This window comes from Homo sapiens, chromosome 8, assembly GCF_000001405.40.
Source record: "Homo sapiens chromosome 8, GRCh38.p14 Primary Assembly".
Lineage (NCBI taxonomy): Eukaryota > Metazoa > Chordata > Mammalia > Primates > Hominidae > Homo > Homo sapiens.
This window is the reverse complement of record NC_000008.11, coordinates 80,295,280-80,315,068: the sequence shown is the minus strand read 5'-3', so window position 1 is coordinate 80,315,068 and position 19,789 is coordinate 80,295,280. Positions and strand designations below refer to the sequence as shown.

The following is a 19,789-nucleotide window of genomic DNA, read 5'->3' as shown; positions in this document are numbered from 1 at the left end:
GTTTCTTTTTTTTTTTTTGGAGGCAGGGTCTCATTGTGTCACCCAGGCTGGAATGCAATGGCACAATCTCGACTCACTGCCAACTCTGCCTCCCAGGTTCAAGTCATCCTCCCACCTCAACCTCTTGAGTACCTGGGACTACAGGCACATGTCACCATGCCAGGCTAATTTTTGTATTTTTTGTAGGGAGAGGGTCTCGCTGTGTTACCCAGGCTGGTCTCGAACTCCTGGACTCAAGCTATCCACCCGACTCAGCCTCCCAAAGTGTTGGGATTACAGGCGTGAGCCACTGCACCCAGCCTGGAATATGTTTCAAAGAGCTTTCGTTAATAAACATGGTTTGATTCTGAGGAGCTGTAGTTTTTATTATTCATACACTTTGCAATTAAGTAACACATATTCAGGAGCCTTAACATGGTTTACATTAGACACCAGAGATCAATTAAGAAATTATATCAGTATTAGGAGAGAATTAATGATTGTAATGAAATATATAAAACATTAATTACTGTTAAGATAACTTTTGATTGATATATATAATTAAGTTTATAATACTTGAAATTATATTTTTTCAACTTCACATAAACTTGTCACAATTTTATGTTGGACCTATACTAAGAATGCTCTTTTTATCAAGAAAATTTAGGTGGATTTTGCTCCCTGTCTTTTTGCAGTATTTGATTAACTATTCTTCCATTTTCTGATCCACCTAATACAATAATACATTTTTGTATATCCATTCCTTAAAATATAGATATTTTCTACACCTTCTATCCTTCTGAATAAACTACTATTAAAACAATAGTACTTTCTCCTCCCAACACACTAATTTTCTCTTTGTTTAACAATAACAACTAATAATGTGCATTGTCCTAACTTTTTCAAAGTGCGTTCACATACGTGATCCTATTTATCACCATGACAACACTATAACTTATGTATTATGGTCATAATTTCAATGTAAAGAAACCAAGATTACTTCCTCAAAATCACCTGACTAGCAAAAAGCAAAGCTTGAAACCATAAAAAAGAACAAGATCATGTCCTTTGTAAGGAGATGGATGGAGCCAAAGGCCATTATCCTTAGCAAACTAACACAGGAACAGAAAACCAAATACTGTATGTTCTCACTTACAAATGGGAGCTAAATGATGAGAACACGTGGACACATAGAGGGGAACAACACACACCGGGACCATTTGGAGGATGAAGTGGGAGAGGAGGGAGAGGATCAGGAAAAATAACTAATGGGTACTAGGTTTAACACCTGGGTGATGAACTAATCTGTACAACAAACCCCCATGACACAAGTTTACTGATGCAACAAACCTGCACTTGTACCCCGACCTTAAAATAAAACTTAAAAAAAAAAGCAAAGCTATGATTTAAATCCAAGTCTTCTGATTCTTCAACTCAAATGCATTTATTTCCACTATACCAGTGTTTCCTAGGTGGCCTATGAAGAAATATATTTTATTTAAATTGTTACAGATTTTAGTGTAACTTTACATAAATTATTTAAATAAAATGGTGATCAGTTTAACTACAGTCATATATCCCTTAATTATGGGGATATGTTCTGAGAAATGTGCCTTTAGGCAATTTTGCCATTGTGTGAACATCATAGAATGTACTTACACAAACCTACATGGTATATAGGCTATTACACACCTAGGCTGTAAGGTATAGCCCAGGGGTCCCCAACCCCTGTATCGTGGACAGGTACTGGTCCATGGCCTGTTACAAACTGGGCCACATAGCAGGGAATGAGCAGCAGGTAAGCAAGCAAAGCTTCATCTGTATTTACAGCCTCTCCCCATTGCTTGCATTATCTCCTGAGCTCCATCTCCTGTCAGATCAGCAGCAGCATTGGATTCTCATAGGTGTGCAAACCCTCTTGTGAACTGTGCATGCGAGGGATCTAGGTTGTGCACTCCTTACAAGCATCTAATGCCTGATTATCTGAGGTGGAACAGTTTCATCCCAAAACCATCCCCTCACCCCACCCCATTTGTGGAAACATTGTCTCCCGTGAAACTGGTCCCTGGTGCCAAAAATGTTAGGGCTGCTGGTATAGCCTATAGCTTCTAAACTACTAACCTATACAGCATATTACTGTACTGACTGTAGGTGATTGTCACAAGATGGTAAGTACTTGTGTATCTAAACTTACCTAAACATGAAAAAGGTACAATAAAAATACAGTATGCTGGGCACAGTGGCTCACACCTGTAATCCCAGCACTTTGGGAAGCCGAGGCAGGTGGATCACCTGAGGTCAGGAGTTCAAGACTGAACTAGCCAATATGGTGAAACCCCATCTCTACTAAAAATACAAAAATCAGCAGGGCGTGGTGGTGCACACCTGTGACCCCAGCCACTCAGGAGGCTGAGGCAGAAGAATTGCTTGAACCCGGGAAGTGAAGGTTGCAGTGAGCCGAGATCAGGCCACAGCACTCCAACCTAGGTGACAGAGCAAGACTTCGTCTCAAAAAAAAAAAAAATAGTATAAAAGATAAAAAAATGGTAGACTTGTGAATGGAGCTTGAAGGACTTGAAGTTTCTCTGGGTGAGTCAGTGAGTGAATGGTGAGTGACTGTGAAGGCCTAGGACATCACTGTACACTCTTGTAGACTTTATAAACACTGTACATTTAGGCTACACTAAATTTATAAAAACATATTTTCTTTCTTCAATAAAAAGTTAACCTTAGCTTACTGAAACATTTTTACTTTATAAACTTTTTAATTTTTTAACTTTTGATTCTTTTATAATAACACTTAGCTTCAAACACATTGTACAGCTATACAAAAATATTTTCTTTATATTCTTATTCTATAAGCTTCTTTCTATTTTTAAAGTGTTTTACTTTGTAAACTTTTTTGTTAAAAATGAAGGCACAAACGCACCTATTGGCCTAGACCTACACAGGGTCAGGATCATCAATATCACTGTCTTCCACATCCACATCCTGTCCCACTGGAAAATTTTCAGGGGCAATAACATACATGGAGCTCTCATCTCCTAGGATAACAATGCCTTCTTCAGGAATACCTCTGAAGACCTGCCTGAGGCTCTTTTACAATTAACTTTCTAAAGATATATGTAGAAGGACTACTTCTAAAATAATGATTAAAAGTATAGGTCAGGCATGGTGGCTCACGACTGTAATCCCAGCACTTTAGGAGGCCGCGGTGGGATGACTGCTTGAGACCAGGACTTTGAGATCACCCTGGGCAACATAACAAGACCCCATCTCTACAAAAAAAAAATTTTTTTTAATTAGTTATAGTCCCAGCTGCTTGGGAGGCTGAGGTGGGAAGTTTGCTTGAAACTTTAAGCAGTGAGTTCAAGGTTGCAGTGAGCATCTTTGTGCCACTGCACTCCAGCCTGAGTGACAGGACAAGACCATGTCTCTTAAATATATATATATATATATATGTATGTATATAATTTAACACTGCAGCTAAAAAAAATAAAAAATAAATTTAAAGAAAATTTAGGCCAGGCGTGGTGGCTCATGCCTGTAATCCTAGCACTTTGGGAGGCCAAGGCAGGTAGATCTCCTGAGGTCAGAAGTTTGAGACCAGCCTGGCTAATGTGGCAAAACCCCGTCTCTACTAAAAATACAAAAATTAGCTGGGTATGGTGGTGTGCATCTGTAGTCCCAGCTACTCTAGAGGCTGAGGCAGGAGAATTGCTTGAACCCAGGAGGCAGAGGCTGCAGTGAGCCGAGATTGCGCCATTGCACTCCAGCCGGGGCAAAAAGAGCGAAACTCCATCTCAAAAAAACAAAAAAAGCTCTATTATAATCTTACGGTACCACCATCGTATATGTGATCCATCACTGATCAAAACATCATTATGTGTCATGTGGCTATAAAAGTAATAAGTAAATAATAATAGAGGTGATACATAGATTTGGCAAAATTCATGAATTTAGATATGTATGAATGAAATTTTCATACACTTCATAATCAAATCTTCATAATCACTGAGAGATGGGCAAAAACCAGGGGTAATTGTCCCATTTTAAGATAAAGAACAAGGCAATGAATGGCTGTGACATTAGCTAAGCTAAATCTTCCTTTAACAAAATTTGATATTTAAATCCAACTCCCTCCCTCCCTAAAAAAAAAAGGTTGGGAGGGAGGAATTATATTACTATACAAAATAAACTTTCAGTGGCTGGGCATGGTGGCTCACACCTGTAATCCCAGAACTTTGGGAGGCTGAGATGGGAGGATTGCTTGAGCCCAGAAGTTCAAGACCAGCCTGGGCAACATGGCAAAACCCACATCTCTACCAAAAATACAAAAATTAGCCAGTCTCATAACTCAGTCAATAAATTTAAAAATGACCCAAAAGGTCATTTCTTTAATTTCATTTTTAAATTTTTATCTATTTAAAATTTTATCAAATTTTAAATTTTATCTATTTTCTCTCAGACAAATCTTAAACTGTAGAACTTGATTTTCTAAATCTATAAAGTAAAGGCCAGGCGCAGTGGCTCACACCTGTAATCCAGCTACTTGGGAGGCAGAGGCACGAGAATCACTTGAACTCGGGAGGCTGCAGTGAGCCAAGATCGCGCTACTGCACTCCAGCCTGGGTGACACAGCAAGACCCTGTCTCAGAAAAAAAAAAAAAAAAAAAAAGGAAATCTATAAAATAAAAAGTTTGAACTTTGTCATCCCCAATGTCTTCATTTCTAAAAACAGATACTTTTATTCTTCAAGTTGCTAATAATATTTATATGTATGTCAGTGATATATAGATTGCATAAATTAGATCTATTAAGGACCTAATGCTAAGATCAAGAATTGTTTACAATTGTTCTTTTTTTTCTTTTGAGACAGAGTCTCATTCCATCACCCAGGCTAGAGTAGAGTGGCACGATCATAGCTCACTGCAACCTCAACTTCCCAGGTTTAGATGATCCTCCCAATTCAGCCTCCCGAGTAGCGGGACCACCGGTGTGCACCACCACGCACAGCTAATTTTTTTGCATTTTTTTGTAGACACGGGATATTGCCATGTTGCCCAGGCTGGTCTTGAACTCCTAGACTCAAGTAATCTGCCTGCCTCAGCCTCCCAAATGTTCCCAATTGTTCCAGTTCAGCACAAGCATTTCAATTTCTATTCCTTGTTCTAAAAGAAACTGGCTTAATCGACCTATTTCAAATAATAAGAATGGAGATATTATTAATGTATAGCATTTTAAGTGATAACCCAGAAAATCAACACACATTTCTGGAGCAACGATGCTAGCAGGATATTCTTGAGGGGGATACAAAGAGATAGACTTGTCTTTAATAAGCTCAAGGACAATTGAAGAAACAAGACAAAACCCATGAAAATGTAAATTGCTGATCAAAGTGTAGAGTTGGAAAGGAAGGCCCTTTGATCTCATCTAGTCACAGATTGACAGAATGTTAGATCCGAAAAGGACCTAGGGGAGGCGTCTACCCCCTCCCTTCCCAGTACCACTCCTAATTTGTGGGTGAGCAGACCAAGAGCCAGAAGGAAGACAGCATTTATCAGACAGTGAGTTAATGACAGAGCAGGGATTAGAACTCTGTTCAAGAGCCCCAGTAGGTCAGTTAATTGGAGTGGAGAATTCAGGTTAAAGAATAGTAGCAGATGTGGGCCATGGTTGTGGAGACCTTTCTGCATCATACCTGAACACTGAGAATCTACAGAAGGTCTTTATGGTACTGCAGGTACACAACTGATTAAGATTCAATGAGGCCGGGCGTGATGACTCATGCTCATGCCTGTAATCCCAGGACTTTGGGAGGCTGAGGTGGGCGGATCCCCTGAGGTCAGGAGTTTGAGACCAGCCTGACCAACATGGAGAAACCCCGTCTCTACTAAAAATACAAAAATTAGTCGGGCATGGCACGCTGCCTGTAGTTTCAGCTACTTGGGAGGCTGAGGCAGGAGAATCACTTGAACCCAGGAGGCGGAGGCTGCAGTGAACCGAGATCACACCACTGCACTCCAGCCTGGGCAACAAAGCAAAACTTTGCCTTAAAAAAAATAAAATAAATAAATAAAAATTAAATGATTTGTTTATAAGGTTTTATTAAAAATTGAGTTTATTAAAAATTGAGTTTAACATTAATATACACTAATACAAAGGAAAATTTTTTGTTTTCTATTTTGAACAAGACTTTTATGCAATATTGAGAGATAGTGAAAGATTTTTGTTTGCCTTTTGAATAAACGGCAAGAAAAAAGAAAAAAGCAGGGAGAAAGAAGAGACAGATTCAGCTGGCCTCATGTTGTCTTTCTTGGGTTTTGTTTGAAAAGCTGAGTCCCCTCTCTATCAGAGTAAAGGTTTTTCCCTTTTGAAATTTTTTGAGTTATCACTTTGGCTAAATGAATGACCTGTGATCCTATTTTGCAATATCAAGTGTGTGAAATCTTTGATATTTGACAAACTTTCCAAAAATCAAAATTTCAAGTTCTAAATTCAGCCCTATTGAACTCATTAAGCTTTTAGATACTAAGTCCCCTGAAGTCCAAGAGAGACATTTGGCTTATTTGATATGTTAAAATTATATAAGGGAAGGATCGAAGATGGCAGAGTGAGGCATGCCGCCGTAAACCAGCCTCTGGGCTGTAGGCAGGCCAGTCCCCCGGGAGGCCTCATGCATGTGTTGGACCATGCCCGGAGAAGAAAAAAAGAGATCGGCCAGGGGAAAGGAATTAAAGCAACATTCTTTCTCCCTCCCTTTCAGAGGGGAGTGGTCATCTACACTTATAAAGCAAAGGTCTTAAGTTCCTTATCATAGGAAGAACATTTTCTTTGACCTTTAGGTGCTTTTATATTCATCTCAAAAACAAAATTCTGATCTCAGGACTTGGCGAACCACTGCCAAGAAAGAAATTCTGATCTCAGGACTTGGCAAACCACTGCTGAAACTTCACTTCTACACAGACAGGCTTTCCTTCCCATAACTCCAGACCAGCTGAGCAATTATAAGGTGTTTGCAAAGAAGACAGCTCTATGGCAAAATGACGATGTTCATTCCCAGCACAAAGGAGAGTACAGGAATGCAGCAGGTGAGCAGCTTTCCCTTTCTTCCCAAACTACACCTTCCGGTATGGCTTCAGTATTTTGCTTTTTGTTACAAATTCAATAAGGAAGGTCAAACCAAGTGTAAAGGATTATTGAGCATCACACAAGTTCATCATCCCTAGTTCATTGGTACAAATTAACAAGAGTTGTCTATATTTAAAAAACCATACAACCATCAAAAAAATTATATAGGAAGCACTGTCAAGTAGGAAATGGTGTTTGGCTTTGTGTTTTTGTTTTTGTTTTTGTTTTGAGACCGAATCTCACTCTGTTGCCCAGGCAAGAGTGCAGAGGCGCGATCTCAGCTCACTGAAACCTCCACCTCCTGGGTTCAAGCACTTCTCCTGCCTCAGTCACCCAAGTAGCTGGGATGACAGGCATCCACCACCAAGCCCAGCTAATTTTTGTATTTTTAGTAGCGACAAGGTTTCACCTTGTTGACCACAGGCTGGTCTTGAACTCCTGAGCTCAGGTGATCCTCCCACCTTGGCCTCCCAAAGTGCTGAGATTACAAGCATGAGCCACTGCGTCCAGCCTGTTTGGCTTTCTTTAGGCTGTATTTGTATGAACGTGTTATTGGTGTGTGCTCCAGAATTGGGCAAAACTCCTGTAATTCCGATATGACTTAGTGTATGTTATCAGTAATAATTATAATTGTAATGGTAAATGTTGTATGTCACAAAATAAATCAAACTTCCTTGTCAATTGTGTTCTTAACCATGGCCATTCTGAGATTTACGTTATCACCAATTATTTTACTTTGATACAGTGAGCACGATTTTGGCTCACCGCAACCTCCACTTCCCAGGTTCGGTTGATTCTTGTGCCTCAGCCCCCCAAGTAGTTGGGATTACAGTTGTGTGCCACCATGTCCAGCAAATTTTTGTACTTTTAGTAGAGATGAGGTTTCACCATGTTGGCCAGGCTAGTCTCGAACTCCTGACCTCAGGTGATCCACCTGCCTTGGCCTCCCAAAGTGCTGGGATTACAGGAGTGAGCCCCCATGCCCATCCTGATCCTTTTTAAAAAGGTGGTTTTATAATCAACTATAGGACTTTGACAGGCGCTTTTGAATGCAGATTTTTGGCCTTGTTTTTGTTTGAGACAGGGTCTCATTCTGTCAGCCAGCATGGAGTGTAGTGGTGCGATCTTGGCTCACTGCAGCCTCAACCTCCCAGGCTCAAGCGATCCTCCCACCACAGCCTCCTGAGTAACTGGGACTACAGGCACATGCTACCATGACTGGCTAATCTTTTTTTTTTTTTTTTGGTAGAGACAGGATTTTTCCCTGCTGCCCAGGCTGGTCTTAAACTCCTGAGCTCAAGTAATCCTCCAGTCTCAGCCTCCCAAACTGCTGGGATTACAGGCACGTGCCATTGTGCCCAGATACAGGTTCTTGATAACTTTGGAAACTGTGCTATTGGAATAGAAAAACAAAAACAAAATTTCCAGGACTCTCATGGGAAGCTGATGTGTTCATGAATAGCAAGCAGAACAGAAGTTAATTGCATGGACTGAACTAATAGAAGACTGAAATAATCGATTTTTTTTTTTTTTGAGACAGATTCTAGCTCTGTCGCCCAGGCTGGAGTGTAGTGGTGCAATCTCAGCTCACTGAAACCTCCGTCTCCCAGGTTCAAGCAATTCTCCTACCTCAGCCTCCCAAGTAGCTGGGATTACAGGCACCTGCCATCACGCCCAGCTAATTTTTGTGTTTTTAGTAGAGACGGGGTTTCACTGTGTTGGACAAGCTGTTCTCAAACTCTTTACCTGCTGATCCACCTGCCTCACCCTCCCAAAGTGCTGGGATTACAAGCATGAGCCACCATGCCCAGCAATAATCTACTTTTATACCTGTTATTCGATACCCAGTTAGTTAATACCTGTTATTACATACCCAACCCACCGATTATTTTTGTTTCATTTTTCAAAGTCACAAAAACTTTTATTTTGAGCTAATATTTACAGCTTTTAACAATTTTTTTTTCTTTCACTTTGACGCCCAGGCTGGAGTGCAGTGGTGTGATCTCAGTTCACTGCAACCTCCGCCTCCCAGGTTCAAGTGGTTCCCTTGCCTCGGCCTCCCAAGTAGCTGGGACTACAGGTGCCCACCACCATACCAGCTAATTATTGTATTTTTAGTACAGACAGTGTTTCACCATGTTGGCCAGGCTGGTTTCAAACTCCTGACCTCAGGTGATCCACCCACCTCAGCCCCCCAAAGTGCTGGGATTACAGGCATGAGCCACCGTGCCTGGCTGGCTTTTAACTATTGAGTAAAATTTACTCCTGTGAGCAAAATTTAGAGTGTATTTCTCTCTACGGAATCTCTCCAGAATTTGGAAACTCTGAGTATTTTTAACTTATAGCAACAAAGTTATTTGCATAAGTTCAATAAGAATCAGTTTTCCTTATCAAGCAGAGTCCGATGGGGGGAAAAAAGAATCAGTTTTCTTTTGTAACAGGACACAATTGGAGACTATAGTTATTTCACCCAGGTTTTGACTAGAAAAACATGTTTTCAGACTGCTTTGAGGAACTGAAGTTGACCTATAGAGATGGTAAAAGCCTTTTGGGAAAACTGGCCTTGTACCATGTTTTGTACTGGATTTCTGACCTGATAAAAAATGTCACTTTCTGACAGGCCCAGGAAGCCCAAGCTCTTCTGAGACCTTGAGGAGAGGAATATACTCAATTCATACAGGTATCTGCAGGCACAAATAAATCCTTAGCTGGGCTCAAGAGGCTTTTAAAAGGTCTAATTTGAGATTTCTTATGAAAGAATTCCAGCAAAGCCAATTTTTAAAAAAAGTGCCTATATGGCAAATAATTATTCCTTTTGTACTTTATACAAATAATTAGGCCAAGTATAGTAAGACTGAAATTTATTTTGCAAATAAATTGGTCCTATTATGATTTGTCTTTAATTAAACATGGAGAACTAGAGAGGAAAAAAGTATGTTTTAGGAAAAACTGCAGTTTGTTATTAGATATCAGCCTTATTCACTGATTTTGAGTGTCTCCTGATGATTCCACATATAATTAGTTATCAGGGTCATTCACCTGGATCCCTTAAGACTTCAGGTCAAGCTGGGCACAGTCGCTCACTCCTGTAATCTCAGCACTTTGGGAAGCCGAGGCAGGAGGACTGCTTGAGCCTAGGAGTTCAAGACAAGCCTAGGCAACATAGTGAGACCCCCATCTCTACAAAAAAATTGAATATTTAGCTGGGCTTGGTGTGCGCCTGTAGTCCCAGCTATTCAGGAGGCTGAAGATCCCTTGAGCCCAGGAAGTCAAGGCTGCAGTGAGCCACGATTGCGCCAGGGCATTCCCACCTGAGCAACAGAGTGAGCCCTATCTCAAAAAAAAAAAAAAAAAAAAAAAGAAGAAGAAGAAGATTTCTAGCCAGTTCTACTGGGACTCCTGAAGCTAGGACTTTCACTCCTTATGTTAGGGTTATTATTCGTCTTATAGTCATAAAGCTGTGGGTAACAGCACTAATGTTTTTGTTATGTGTACCTTGGGATCCAAACCAGGTACCCGTGAATACATACAGACAACTGCAAGATGGTTTCACTCCTCCTACCCTGGGGCAACTCCTACCCCAACTAAACCCCCTGCCCACTGTCATGCAGGAAGAAGTTAGAGCAGTATCAGGCTTTTCCCATCTCTGCAGCTCATACCTCAGGACTGAGGTGTGCTGAAGCCCAATGGGTGATTTGAAATCGCCTTTGCAAAATTATGTCAGTAATGGAAATCTGCTATAGTTGCCTCCATCTTGCTTCTGACCTCCATGCTGTCTTTGGTCATTCCTGGGCATAGGCCAAGCTAATTTTGGGAGGAATTTTGTTTATAGTTTACTTGAAAGCAAGGATAATAATAGTCCCTCCCTAAAACTAACCAACTCTTTCTTTGCTCAGGGACTGAAGACAGCCTTTCTAAGACTAATGAAAGGTCACAAGGATAGGGTTATGGGAGGAGCCTGATCTCTGCTAAGATGTGGGCATAGTTTCTTTTTTTCTTCTTTTCTTCTTGTTTTTTTTTTAAATAAAGATGAGGTCTCACTATATTGCCCAGGCTGGTCTCAAACTCCTGGGCTCAAGCAATCCTCCTGCCTTGGCCTCCCAAAGTGCTGGGGGATTACAATTATGAGGCCCAAACCCAGACAAGTCATGATTTCTATAAATCCTTACTGCTCAGGGGTCATGTGGCCAGAGGTCACAAGATTTGTGACTTTCCCAATTGTTCCTATAGATAACATCACTATTGTAGAACCTAAGATTGGTTTTTTTTGAGATGTTTTTCAGAATGACCCCACCTGGACTCATGACTCATGGCTCAACTGGTCCTGTGGTCCCTCCCAAAGGCAGACTCAGTGCATGAGGATAGGTTTCCACACCCCTGTGATTTTATCCTCAACCAATCAGCAGCACCTATTCCTTAGCCCTCTACTTACCAAGTTGTCCATAAAAACCCTAACCTCTGAGCCTTCAGGGAGACTGATTTAAATGATCACTCCAATTCTCCCGCATGAGCTAGTCTCACATCGAGCTCTTTCTCTACAGCAAAAGAAAGAAATTATTTCATGAAACACAGCTATTAACAATTAAATTAGGCTCCTCTCTATGCACTAATGTGGAACAACAGCATATCTTATTTAAAATACACACACAAAAGCCAACATTATGTAAGATATGCTACCAGGTGGGTTTTGAAAAAGAATGTGTGTTTATATGCAAATGCATAGAATGTCTCTGGACAGATAAACACAAAATTGGTCACTGTGTTTGCCTCCAGGGAAGAGAATTGGATGGCTGAGGTCATGAGGGTAGGAGTTAGGCATATTTTTCATTATATATTTTCTTGAACATTTTATATTTGGGGACTTTCGCATATATTACTTATTAAAAAAATCTTTTTTTTTTTTTTTTTTTTTTTTTTTGGTAGAGACAGGTTTTCGATATGTTACCCAGGCTCGTCTTGAACTTCTGGGCTCAAGTGATCCTCTTGCCTCAGCCTCCCAAAGTGCTGAGATTACAGGTATGAGCCACCGTGCCCAGATGATAATCATTATTTTAAGATTTTTTCTACTCATATTTTTAAGATTTTTTCTAGTTTGGAAAGCTGTTTTTTAAAATAAACTTGTGTGTTATAGATAGAGCTTCTTGGTAAAGTAATCATCTGACTATAAAGTGATAAGTTCAAGGTTAATTATACAATTACTGCCTCATTCATGTCAAAAAAAAGTTAGAAAGGGTGTGATATCCTGACATTAAAAGTTGATTTATTTCCTCCTGTGCTTTGCTCTCCACGTAATGTTGGGAATTATGACTGCAGTTATTGAAAATATGCCAGATACTGTCACACACAACTCGGAGGGCATATAAACTAGCCATATCCTCCCACAGCTGGCTGAGGACTCAGCATTTGCTATAAGCAACAGTGACAAATAAAATCAATCCTTTTTTTGTTTTGTTTTTTGTTTTAGATGGAATCTCACTCTGTCGCCCAGGCTGGAGTACAGTGGCATGATCTTGGCTCACTACAACGTCCGCCTCCCGGGTTCAAGCAATTCTCTGCCTCAGCCTCCCGAGTAGCTGGAATTACAGGCACTGCCACCATGCCTGGCTAATTTTTTAATTGTTTTTAGTAGAGACGGGGTTTCACTATCTTGGCCAGGCTGGTCTTGAACTCCTGACTTCATGATCCGCCTGCCTTGGCCTCCCGAAGTGTTGGGATTACACGCGTGAGCCACCCTGCTGGCCAATCAATCCCATTTTAAAAATGCAATTCATGAGATATTTGCAGAAAAGGGAATTTAACAATATGTTGGAATCTTTCTATAATGGAATTGGAAGAGAAGAGCAATAAATACCATTTGATCAGGCTTAGCCTTTTCTAGTTGTTGACCAATAGCTCGATATGGGTCGAACAGGATTCGACCCATAGCTCATCTGAATCCGTTTAACAAGCTCTGTTACAACATGATTACACAGAATCTACAAACACGAACTTCTATTCCTCCAGAGAAAGACATTTTCGGCTGAGTTTTTGATTATGAGGGAACCATCTGCTTCATCTATAATATTCCAGAGCTTTTGTGAATGCATCCTCAGCCTCATGGTTGCTTCTTTTAGCTACGTTTACATTTTATAGAAAGTAACAAGATATTTACCCAGTGGTTTATCTGTAATTCACTCTTCAAGCCCTTTTGGGATAGCAGAAGGAACAGCAGTGACTGCTCTGCAAAGCCTGCCCCATGACTTGCCACTTTGAAATTTTTCCTGGCCTGCTTTTTAAACCTAAGTCAAACTCTGATGCTATCATAAGAGCCTGGGACGCAAGTTTCAACTTGGCTCCATCTTCAGTCTAGCTACTTCGTGTGTGTGTGTGTGTGTGTGTGTGTGTGTGTGTGTGTGTGTGTGTGTGGTGGTGGGGGGTGAGGGGGGGCGTCCCAAAAGGCAGAAGGCAGACAGGTTTATTGGGCAGCAACCGGGAAAATCAGCGGTTGGACTTGGCCACACACTCAAGCTCGTCCTTCTTCTTGCTAGCATAGGAGTTGGAGGAGCCCTTGACAGCACTGATGAGCTCATCTGCCAGGAACTCAGCAATGGTCTTGATGTTCCGGAAGGCAGCCTCAAGAGCTCCTGTGCACTGCGGCCAGATGGCCTGATTCACACGGCTTAATGGGGACACGGCCACAGCCTGTCGTCTCACGATCCTGGCTCGCCCAGTGAGTGTGGAGTCCTCCCGGGGACCACTGTTGATGATGGCGTTCACCAGGACCTGCAGAGGGTTGTCGCCTGTGAGCAGCTGGATGATCTCGAAGGCGTGCTTGACGATGCGCATGATCATGAGCTTCTTGCGGTTGTTGCGGCCGTGCGTCATCATGGAGTAAGTGAGGCACTCCACGATGGGGCACTGAGCTTTGCGGAAGCGTTTGGCGGCATACCGCTCTGCACTGTGAGGCAGGTACTTGGCATACTTCTCCTTCACTGCAGTGTAATCCTGCAAGCAAGTGCCAGATCTGCACATCATCGGAGCTCCACTTCCCAAAGAGCTTGATGCCAGGGTTCTCTGCCACCAGTGGTGCTGCTGTCTCCCACTAGGTCATCCTGAGGGCACAGCCTGAGCATCTCTGTGGCTTGGCATGCACCACATGCCGCCCTGGCACAGACAGGAAGAGCCAGTCTAGCTATTAAAACTTTCAACCATAGTAGTGGTTCAGAACCACCTAAGGAACTTTTGGGAAAATTCAGGTACGTGGGTCTTCCCCAAATTTCGTGAGATACGAGGAGCCATGAGCAGATTAATGTCGTGGAGAAAGTGGGAGAATAGTGATGTGAAGTACAGGATGAGACTGGCCAGTTGGAGAGAGGCCAGTTCATTCATGGCCCCTGGGCAGGTGCAGATATTGATCTTCCATCTGAGAGCAAGGGGAAGCCACCGGAGTCTGGGAGGGAGAGGAAAGACCACTCAGATCTATGCTTGCTTTTCAATCAACCTGGCCACTGTGTGGGGACTTGATTGGAGGGGGACAAAAGTGGATGGGGTAACCTAGTTGGAAAGATTTTGTAATAATCCAGGCAGTTTGGCCTAGGAAAGCGGTGGTAGAGTAAAAGAGGAGTGGACAGATTGGAGAGGCATTTAGGAAGTGAAACCAGTTGAGAGATGTTGGTAATTGATTGGATAAAGATGGGAGGGGAAAAGGAGGTATCAAAAATAATTCTTAGGATTCTGACAAAGGCAGGAATTTAAACATCTGACTAGCCCTTCTTGGGTGATTTCTGGCGCTGGCTGAACTTGCCCCGGGACTTGGATGACAGCCATTCCTGGCAGTGTGTCATGAATCAGTGGTTTACCAGCATGATGTGTCCCAAGGGGGTGGCTGCTCACATCACCACAGCCTGAATCCCCAAGAATAATACAGTCATGGAACACTTCATGCCTCTTATTAGTTAGCAAACACAGTTTACAATTTTTAGGAGGGCATCTTATTTAGAAGCTCAATTACCAAATGATATTTGGAGAAGTTTTATAGAAATAAAATTGACAAGGGCAGGTATTTATTTATAGAAATATTTTGCCAATGCTTAAAAAAATAAAAGCTACTGGCCGGGCGCAGGCTCATGCCTGTAATCCCAGCACTTTGGGAGGCCGAGGTGGGCGGATCACGAGGTCAGAAGATCGAGACCATCCCGGCTAACATGGTAAAACCTTGTCTCTACTAAAAATACAAAAAATTAGCCAGACGTGGTGGTGGGTGCCTGTAGTCCCAGCTACTCGGGAGGCTGAGGCAGGAGAATGGCATGAACCCGGGATGCGGAGCTTGCAGTGACCTGAGATCGTGCCACTGCACTCCAGCCTGGGCAACAGAGCGAAACTCCGTCTCAAAATAAATACATTAATAAATACTACTTAGAAGTGCATCCTGGCTGGGTGCAGTGGCTCACACCTGTAATCCCAGCACTTTGGGAGGCTGAGGCGGGTGGATCACGAGGTCAGGAGTTCAAGACCAGCCTGGCCAAGATGGTGAAACCCCGTCTCTACTAAAAAAATACAAAAGTTAGCCAGGCGTGGTGGTGGGCACCTGTAATCTCAACTACTTGGGAAGCTGAGGCAGAGAAATGCTTGAACCTGGAAGGCTGAGATTGCAAGACCCTATCTCAAAAAAAAAAAAAAAAAGTTTATCCTAATTCAGTTATTTTACCATATACAGTGTAAATACACATATACAGTGAGTGTAGGTTTATGTGCTAGGGTAAAGTGTGTGTGCATCACAGGCTTTTTTTTTTTTTTTAAATAGAGACAGGGTCTTGCTATGTTGCCCAGGCTGGTCTTGAACTCCTGGCCCCAAGCAATCCTCCCACCTCAGCCTCCCAAAGTGCTGAGATTGCAGGCATGAGCCATGGCACCCAGGCAGGTGCAGGCAATTTTGAGAATCTAATTGCTTTTTCCATGTTTTTCCTTCTTAATCCCTTAAAAGCAACATAACATCACTATGATGTATACAGTTAAGAAAATGGTTCTGGCCACATGCAGTGGCTCAGGCCTGTAATCCCAGCACTTTGGGAGGCTGAGGCAGGCGGATCATCTGAGGTCGGGAGTTTGAAACCAGCCTGACCAACATGGTGAAACCCCGCCTCTACTAAAAATACAAAAAATTAGCCGGGTGTGGTGGTACATGCCTATAATCCCAGCTACTTGGGAGGCTGAGGCAAGAGCATCACTTGAACCTGGGAGGTGGAGGTTGCAGTGAGCTGAGATTGCACCACTATACTCCAGCCTGGGCAACAAGAGTGAAACTCTGCCTCAAAAAAAAAAAAAAAAAAAGAAAAGAAAAGAAAAAAAAGAAAATGGTTCTATCTTTACAAAATAAGTAGTGCCATTTTTTTCTTTTTTTTTTGAAACTATGAATATAAGTGTGGCTTTTAATGTGTAAATCTACACTCAATGACCAGTTGATCCTACATAGACTGGTACAGGATCTTCACTCATTTACATGACTGATAAAAAAGTTCTGAGAAAAGTCAAGCAGTTCAGCTGGTGATCTCTCAGTAGCAATCAAGTGACAGGTCCAAATTCCAGAGGCTCTCCTCTGAATCACCACTTGGTCTCAGCAGGTGTTGGATAAATGTACATATGCCCTCTCTTCCAAGCCAACACTCCTGAAAAGAATGTTCCTTTTCAGAGGAGGACATTGGAAAGAACTTGACAAAGGATTTGAGTCTTCCATCTATCCTCCTCTTCTTGTTGAAATGGCCTTACCAGTACACTGCTGCTAATGAGGTGGTTTATCTGGTTTTATTGCCCTTAATTTTATTACCTGCCCAATATAATCTTGGCTGGAGCTCACCTGCTTAGAGGCATGGTAAAGCTTTATGTCTAGGAAAGCCCCACCCAAGGAGTGTTTTTGCTTTCTTGGGTGTAGGCTCTAGGCCAGGCCTGCAGGCTGAGGTGCTGGCCCTGCTTACAACCTAATTTAGAAGCTCTAAACCATTCTATAATATTTTCTGGCCCAGGTGGAGGTAGACACAACCCAAAGAACAAAGATTAAATGAATAACCAAAGGAAAGAGGCAAAGATTAAAGATCTGTTTCTCCATCTCCCAAGGTCATGAGAATCTCTACCCCAGGTTTTACTCGCCTTAGCGTCCAACCACTGAGAAGCCTGTGTGTGGGGAGAGACGTCAGTCATTTGGACCCTTAGCTGAGGGCTGAGCTCTAGCTAGAGCCCCTCACAAAAGTGAAGTCAAGCAGTCGGGCTGAGAGTGGTGAGGTGGGAGGAGAAACAAGCAGGTGGGAAATGGAGGAAGTGGGGTTTAGTTTTCAGTGAGGAAGGGCAGAGCGTTCCTTTGTCCTTCATCTGGCACTGGGCCCAATCTTGCTATTTCACTTCTCTGAGGAAATCTCTCTCTCTGCCCCTTGTCCCTCCCCTGCAACCCTAGATCACTGCATTTCTAGGGAGCAGGTTTGTCCCTTGCGACCCCAAGCACTTTCTCACTGCCCACATCCACCAATCATGATCTCAGATGCAGCTGTCACTACCAGTTCAAAAGCCTGATGTTCCCGCACCCACTGCCTTCTAGAACAGTCTTCCTGATACCTTCTGTGTAAATGCCTGTAATAAAACACTTTCGATGCTATGCCTTATGTGTCGGCTTGACTCGTGCAGCTCTTTCTCAACTACTCTTGGAAGATGTGCTTTCTCTTCCTTCTTTGCTCCCCCACCCTCACTTTCTGTTGCTGGTTTGACCACAGCTGGCTGCAGGCCAAGAAAATGTGGGTGGGCAGGTGCCAGGCCCTGGCTGCTGGAAGCCGCAGGAGGCCAGGGTGCGGAGTGCGGGGGCTGCAAGGGAAGGAGGGTGTATCCCATAAACTTTCTCCAAAAGTTTGAGAGTATTTTGGTGGTGGTGGTGGTGGTGTTTAATTGTGTGTTGAGAAAATGTAAAAATATTCATTCTGAGTAAGAGCAAGATATGTTCCTCTTGGACTGCTCTCCAATATACATTATTAAGTGAAAATGCTCTGTGATAATGATTGGCAATGTCTAAGTCTTTGTGCTGTTTGTTTTCTCTTTTCTTTTTTTTTTTTTTTTTAAGTTCAGGGATACATGTGCAGAACGTGCAAGTTTGTTACATAGGTATACATGTACCATGGTGGTTTGTTGCACCTATCAACTCGTCTTCCAGGTTTTAAGCCCCGCATGCATTAGGTATTTGTCCTAATGCTCTCCCTCCTCTTTCCCCCAACCCTGTGACAGGCCCTGGTATGTGATGTTCCCCTCTTTGTGTCCATGTGTTCTCTTTGTTAAGCTCCCACTTATGAGTGAGAACATGCGGTGTTTGGCTTTCTGTTCCTGTGTTAGTTTGCTGAGAATGATGGTTTCCAGCTTCATCCATGTCACTGCAAAGGACATGAAAGTGCTCTTTGTTTTCTAAGGATATGCATATATATATATATATATATATATATATATATATATATATATATATATATATGTATGTATATATATATGTATATGTACACTTTTATATGCATAAGACTTTTCTAGGAGGAGAAACAGAATTGTTTACAGTGATTGCCCCTGAAGAATGAGTTGGGTGTGTGCTGCGGGTGGGGGAATTTGTACTTTTTATTGTATATGCTTCCGCACTGTTTATTTTTTACTCTATCATATGTAGTGCCTTTATAATAAACAAGTCTAAAGATTTTAAAAACAAATATTAGTTTCCTGTCTTTCAGTGATTTACTCAGAATCATTAATAAGGTACTAAGTGGGAGGTGAGGCTGAATAATACAGTATAATTCCATCTTACCTGGTAGGTTAAACAACTTATAATAATACCATTCTGAATATTTATTATGCAAAATAGTAGTTGCCCTTGCTTTGTGTACTTTATTTACTACTTGTCAAAATCAAATAAGGTAGCTACTTTACAATCTTCATCTTACAAATCAGAAAACAAGCTTAGAGGAAGTCACATACCATTCACAAGGTCACACAACTAGTTAGTGAGAGGTTTGGGAACTGAGCACTTCACAGGGGCAGAGAACACATTTACCTCCTCTGCCACTTAATCTCCAAGTCTTAGCAAAACCTCTGATATATGGAAAGGGACACAAACATATTTGTTGAATAAATGAATAATAAGTATATTATTAAACGTATACATATGCCCCCAACTACTATATTAAATTCAAAAACTATACTTGGGCTGGTGCAGTGGCACATACCTGTAGTCCCTGCTACTCAGGAGGCTGAGGGAGGAGAATCACTTGAGTCCAGGAGATCAAGGCTGCAGTGAGTTATCATTGCATCAGTGCACTCCAGCCTGGGCGATGAATGATACCCCATCTCTAAAAAAAAAAAAAAATTAGGCCGGGCGCGGTGGCTCACACCTGTATTCCCAGCACTTTGGGAGGCCATGGCGGGTGGATCACCTGAGGTCAGGAGTTCGAGACAAGTCTCGCCAACATGGTAAAACCCTGTCTCTACCAAAAATACAGAAATTAGCCAGGTGTGGTGGCGGGCGCCTGTAATCCCAGCTACTTGGGGAGACGAGACAGGAGAATTGCTTGAACCCGGGAGGCGGAGGTTGCAGTGAGCCAAGATCGTGCCATCACACTCCAGCCTGGGGGACAAGAGTGAGACTTCGTCTCAAAAAAAAAAAAAAAAAGAAAAAAAATTAAAAGTTTAAAAA

At 42.1% G+C, this 19,789-nt stretch overlaps 1 pseudogene, besides 2 other annotated features; it reads right to left on the bottom strand.

The window, feature by feature from the left end:
• On the bottom strand, positions 13,533–14,272 carry RPS5P5 (RPS5 pseudogene 5; annotated as a pseudogene).
• Positions 13,854–14,355: an enhancer, noted in NCBI's record as "H3K4me1 hESC enhancer chr8:81212949-81213450 (GRCh37/hg19 assembly coordinates)". NCBI's record gives its function as "activates a minimal SCP1, AML or CMV promoter by ChIP-STARR-seq in primed H9 embryonic stem cells {active_cell/tissue: H9 hESC(primed)}" and the evidence as "EXISTENCE:reporter gene assay evidence [ECO:0000049][PMID:30033119]".
• Positions 17,869–17,928: an enhancer, noted in NCBI's record as "active region_27563". NCBI's record gives its function as "activates an Ori minimal core promoter by ATAC-STARR-seq in GM12878 lymphoblastoid cells {active_cell/tissue: GM12878}" and the evidence as "EXISTENCE:reporter gene assay evidence [ECO:0000049][PMID:35858748]".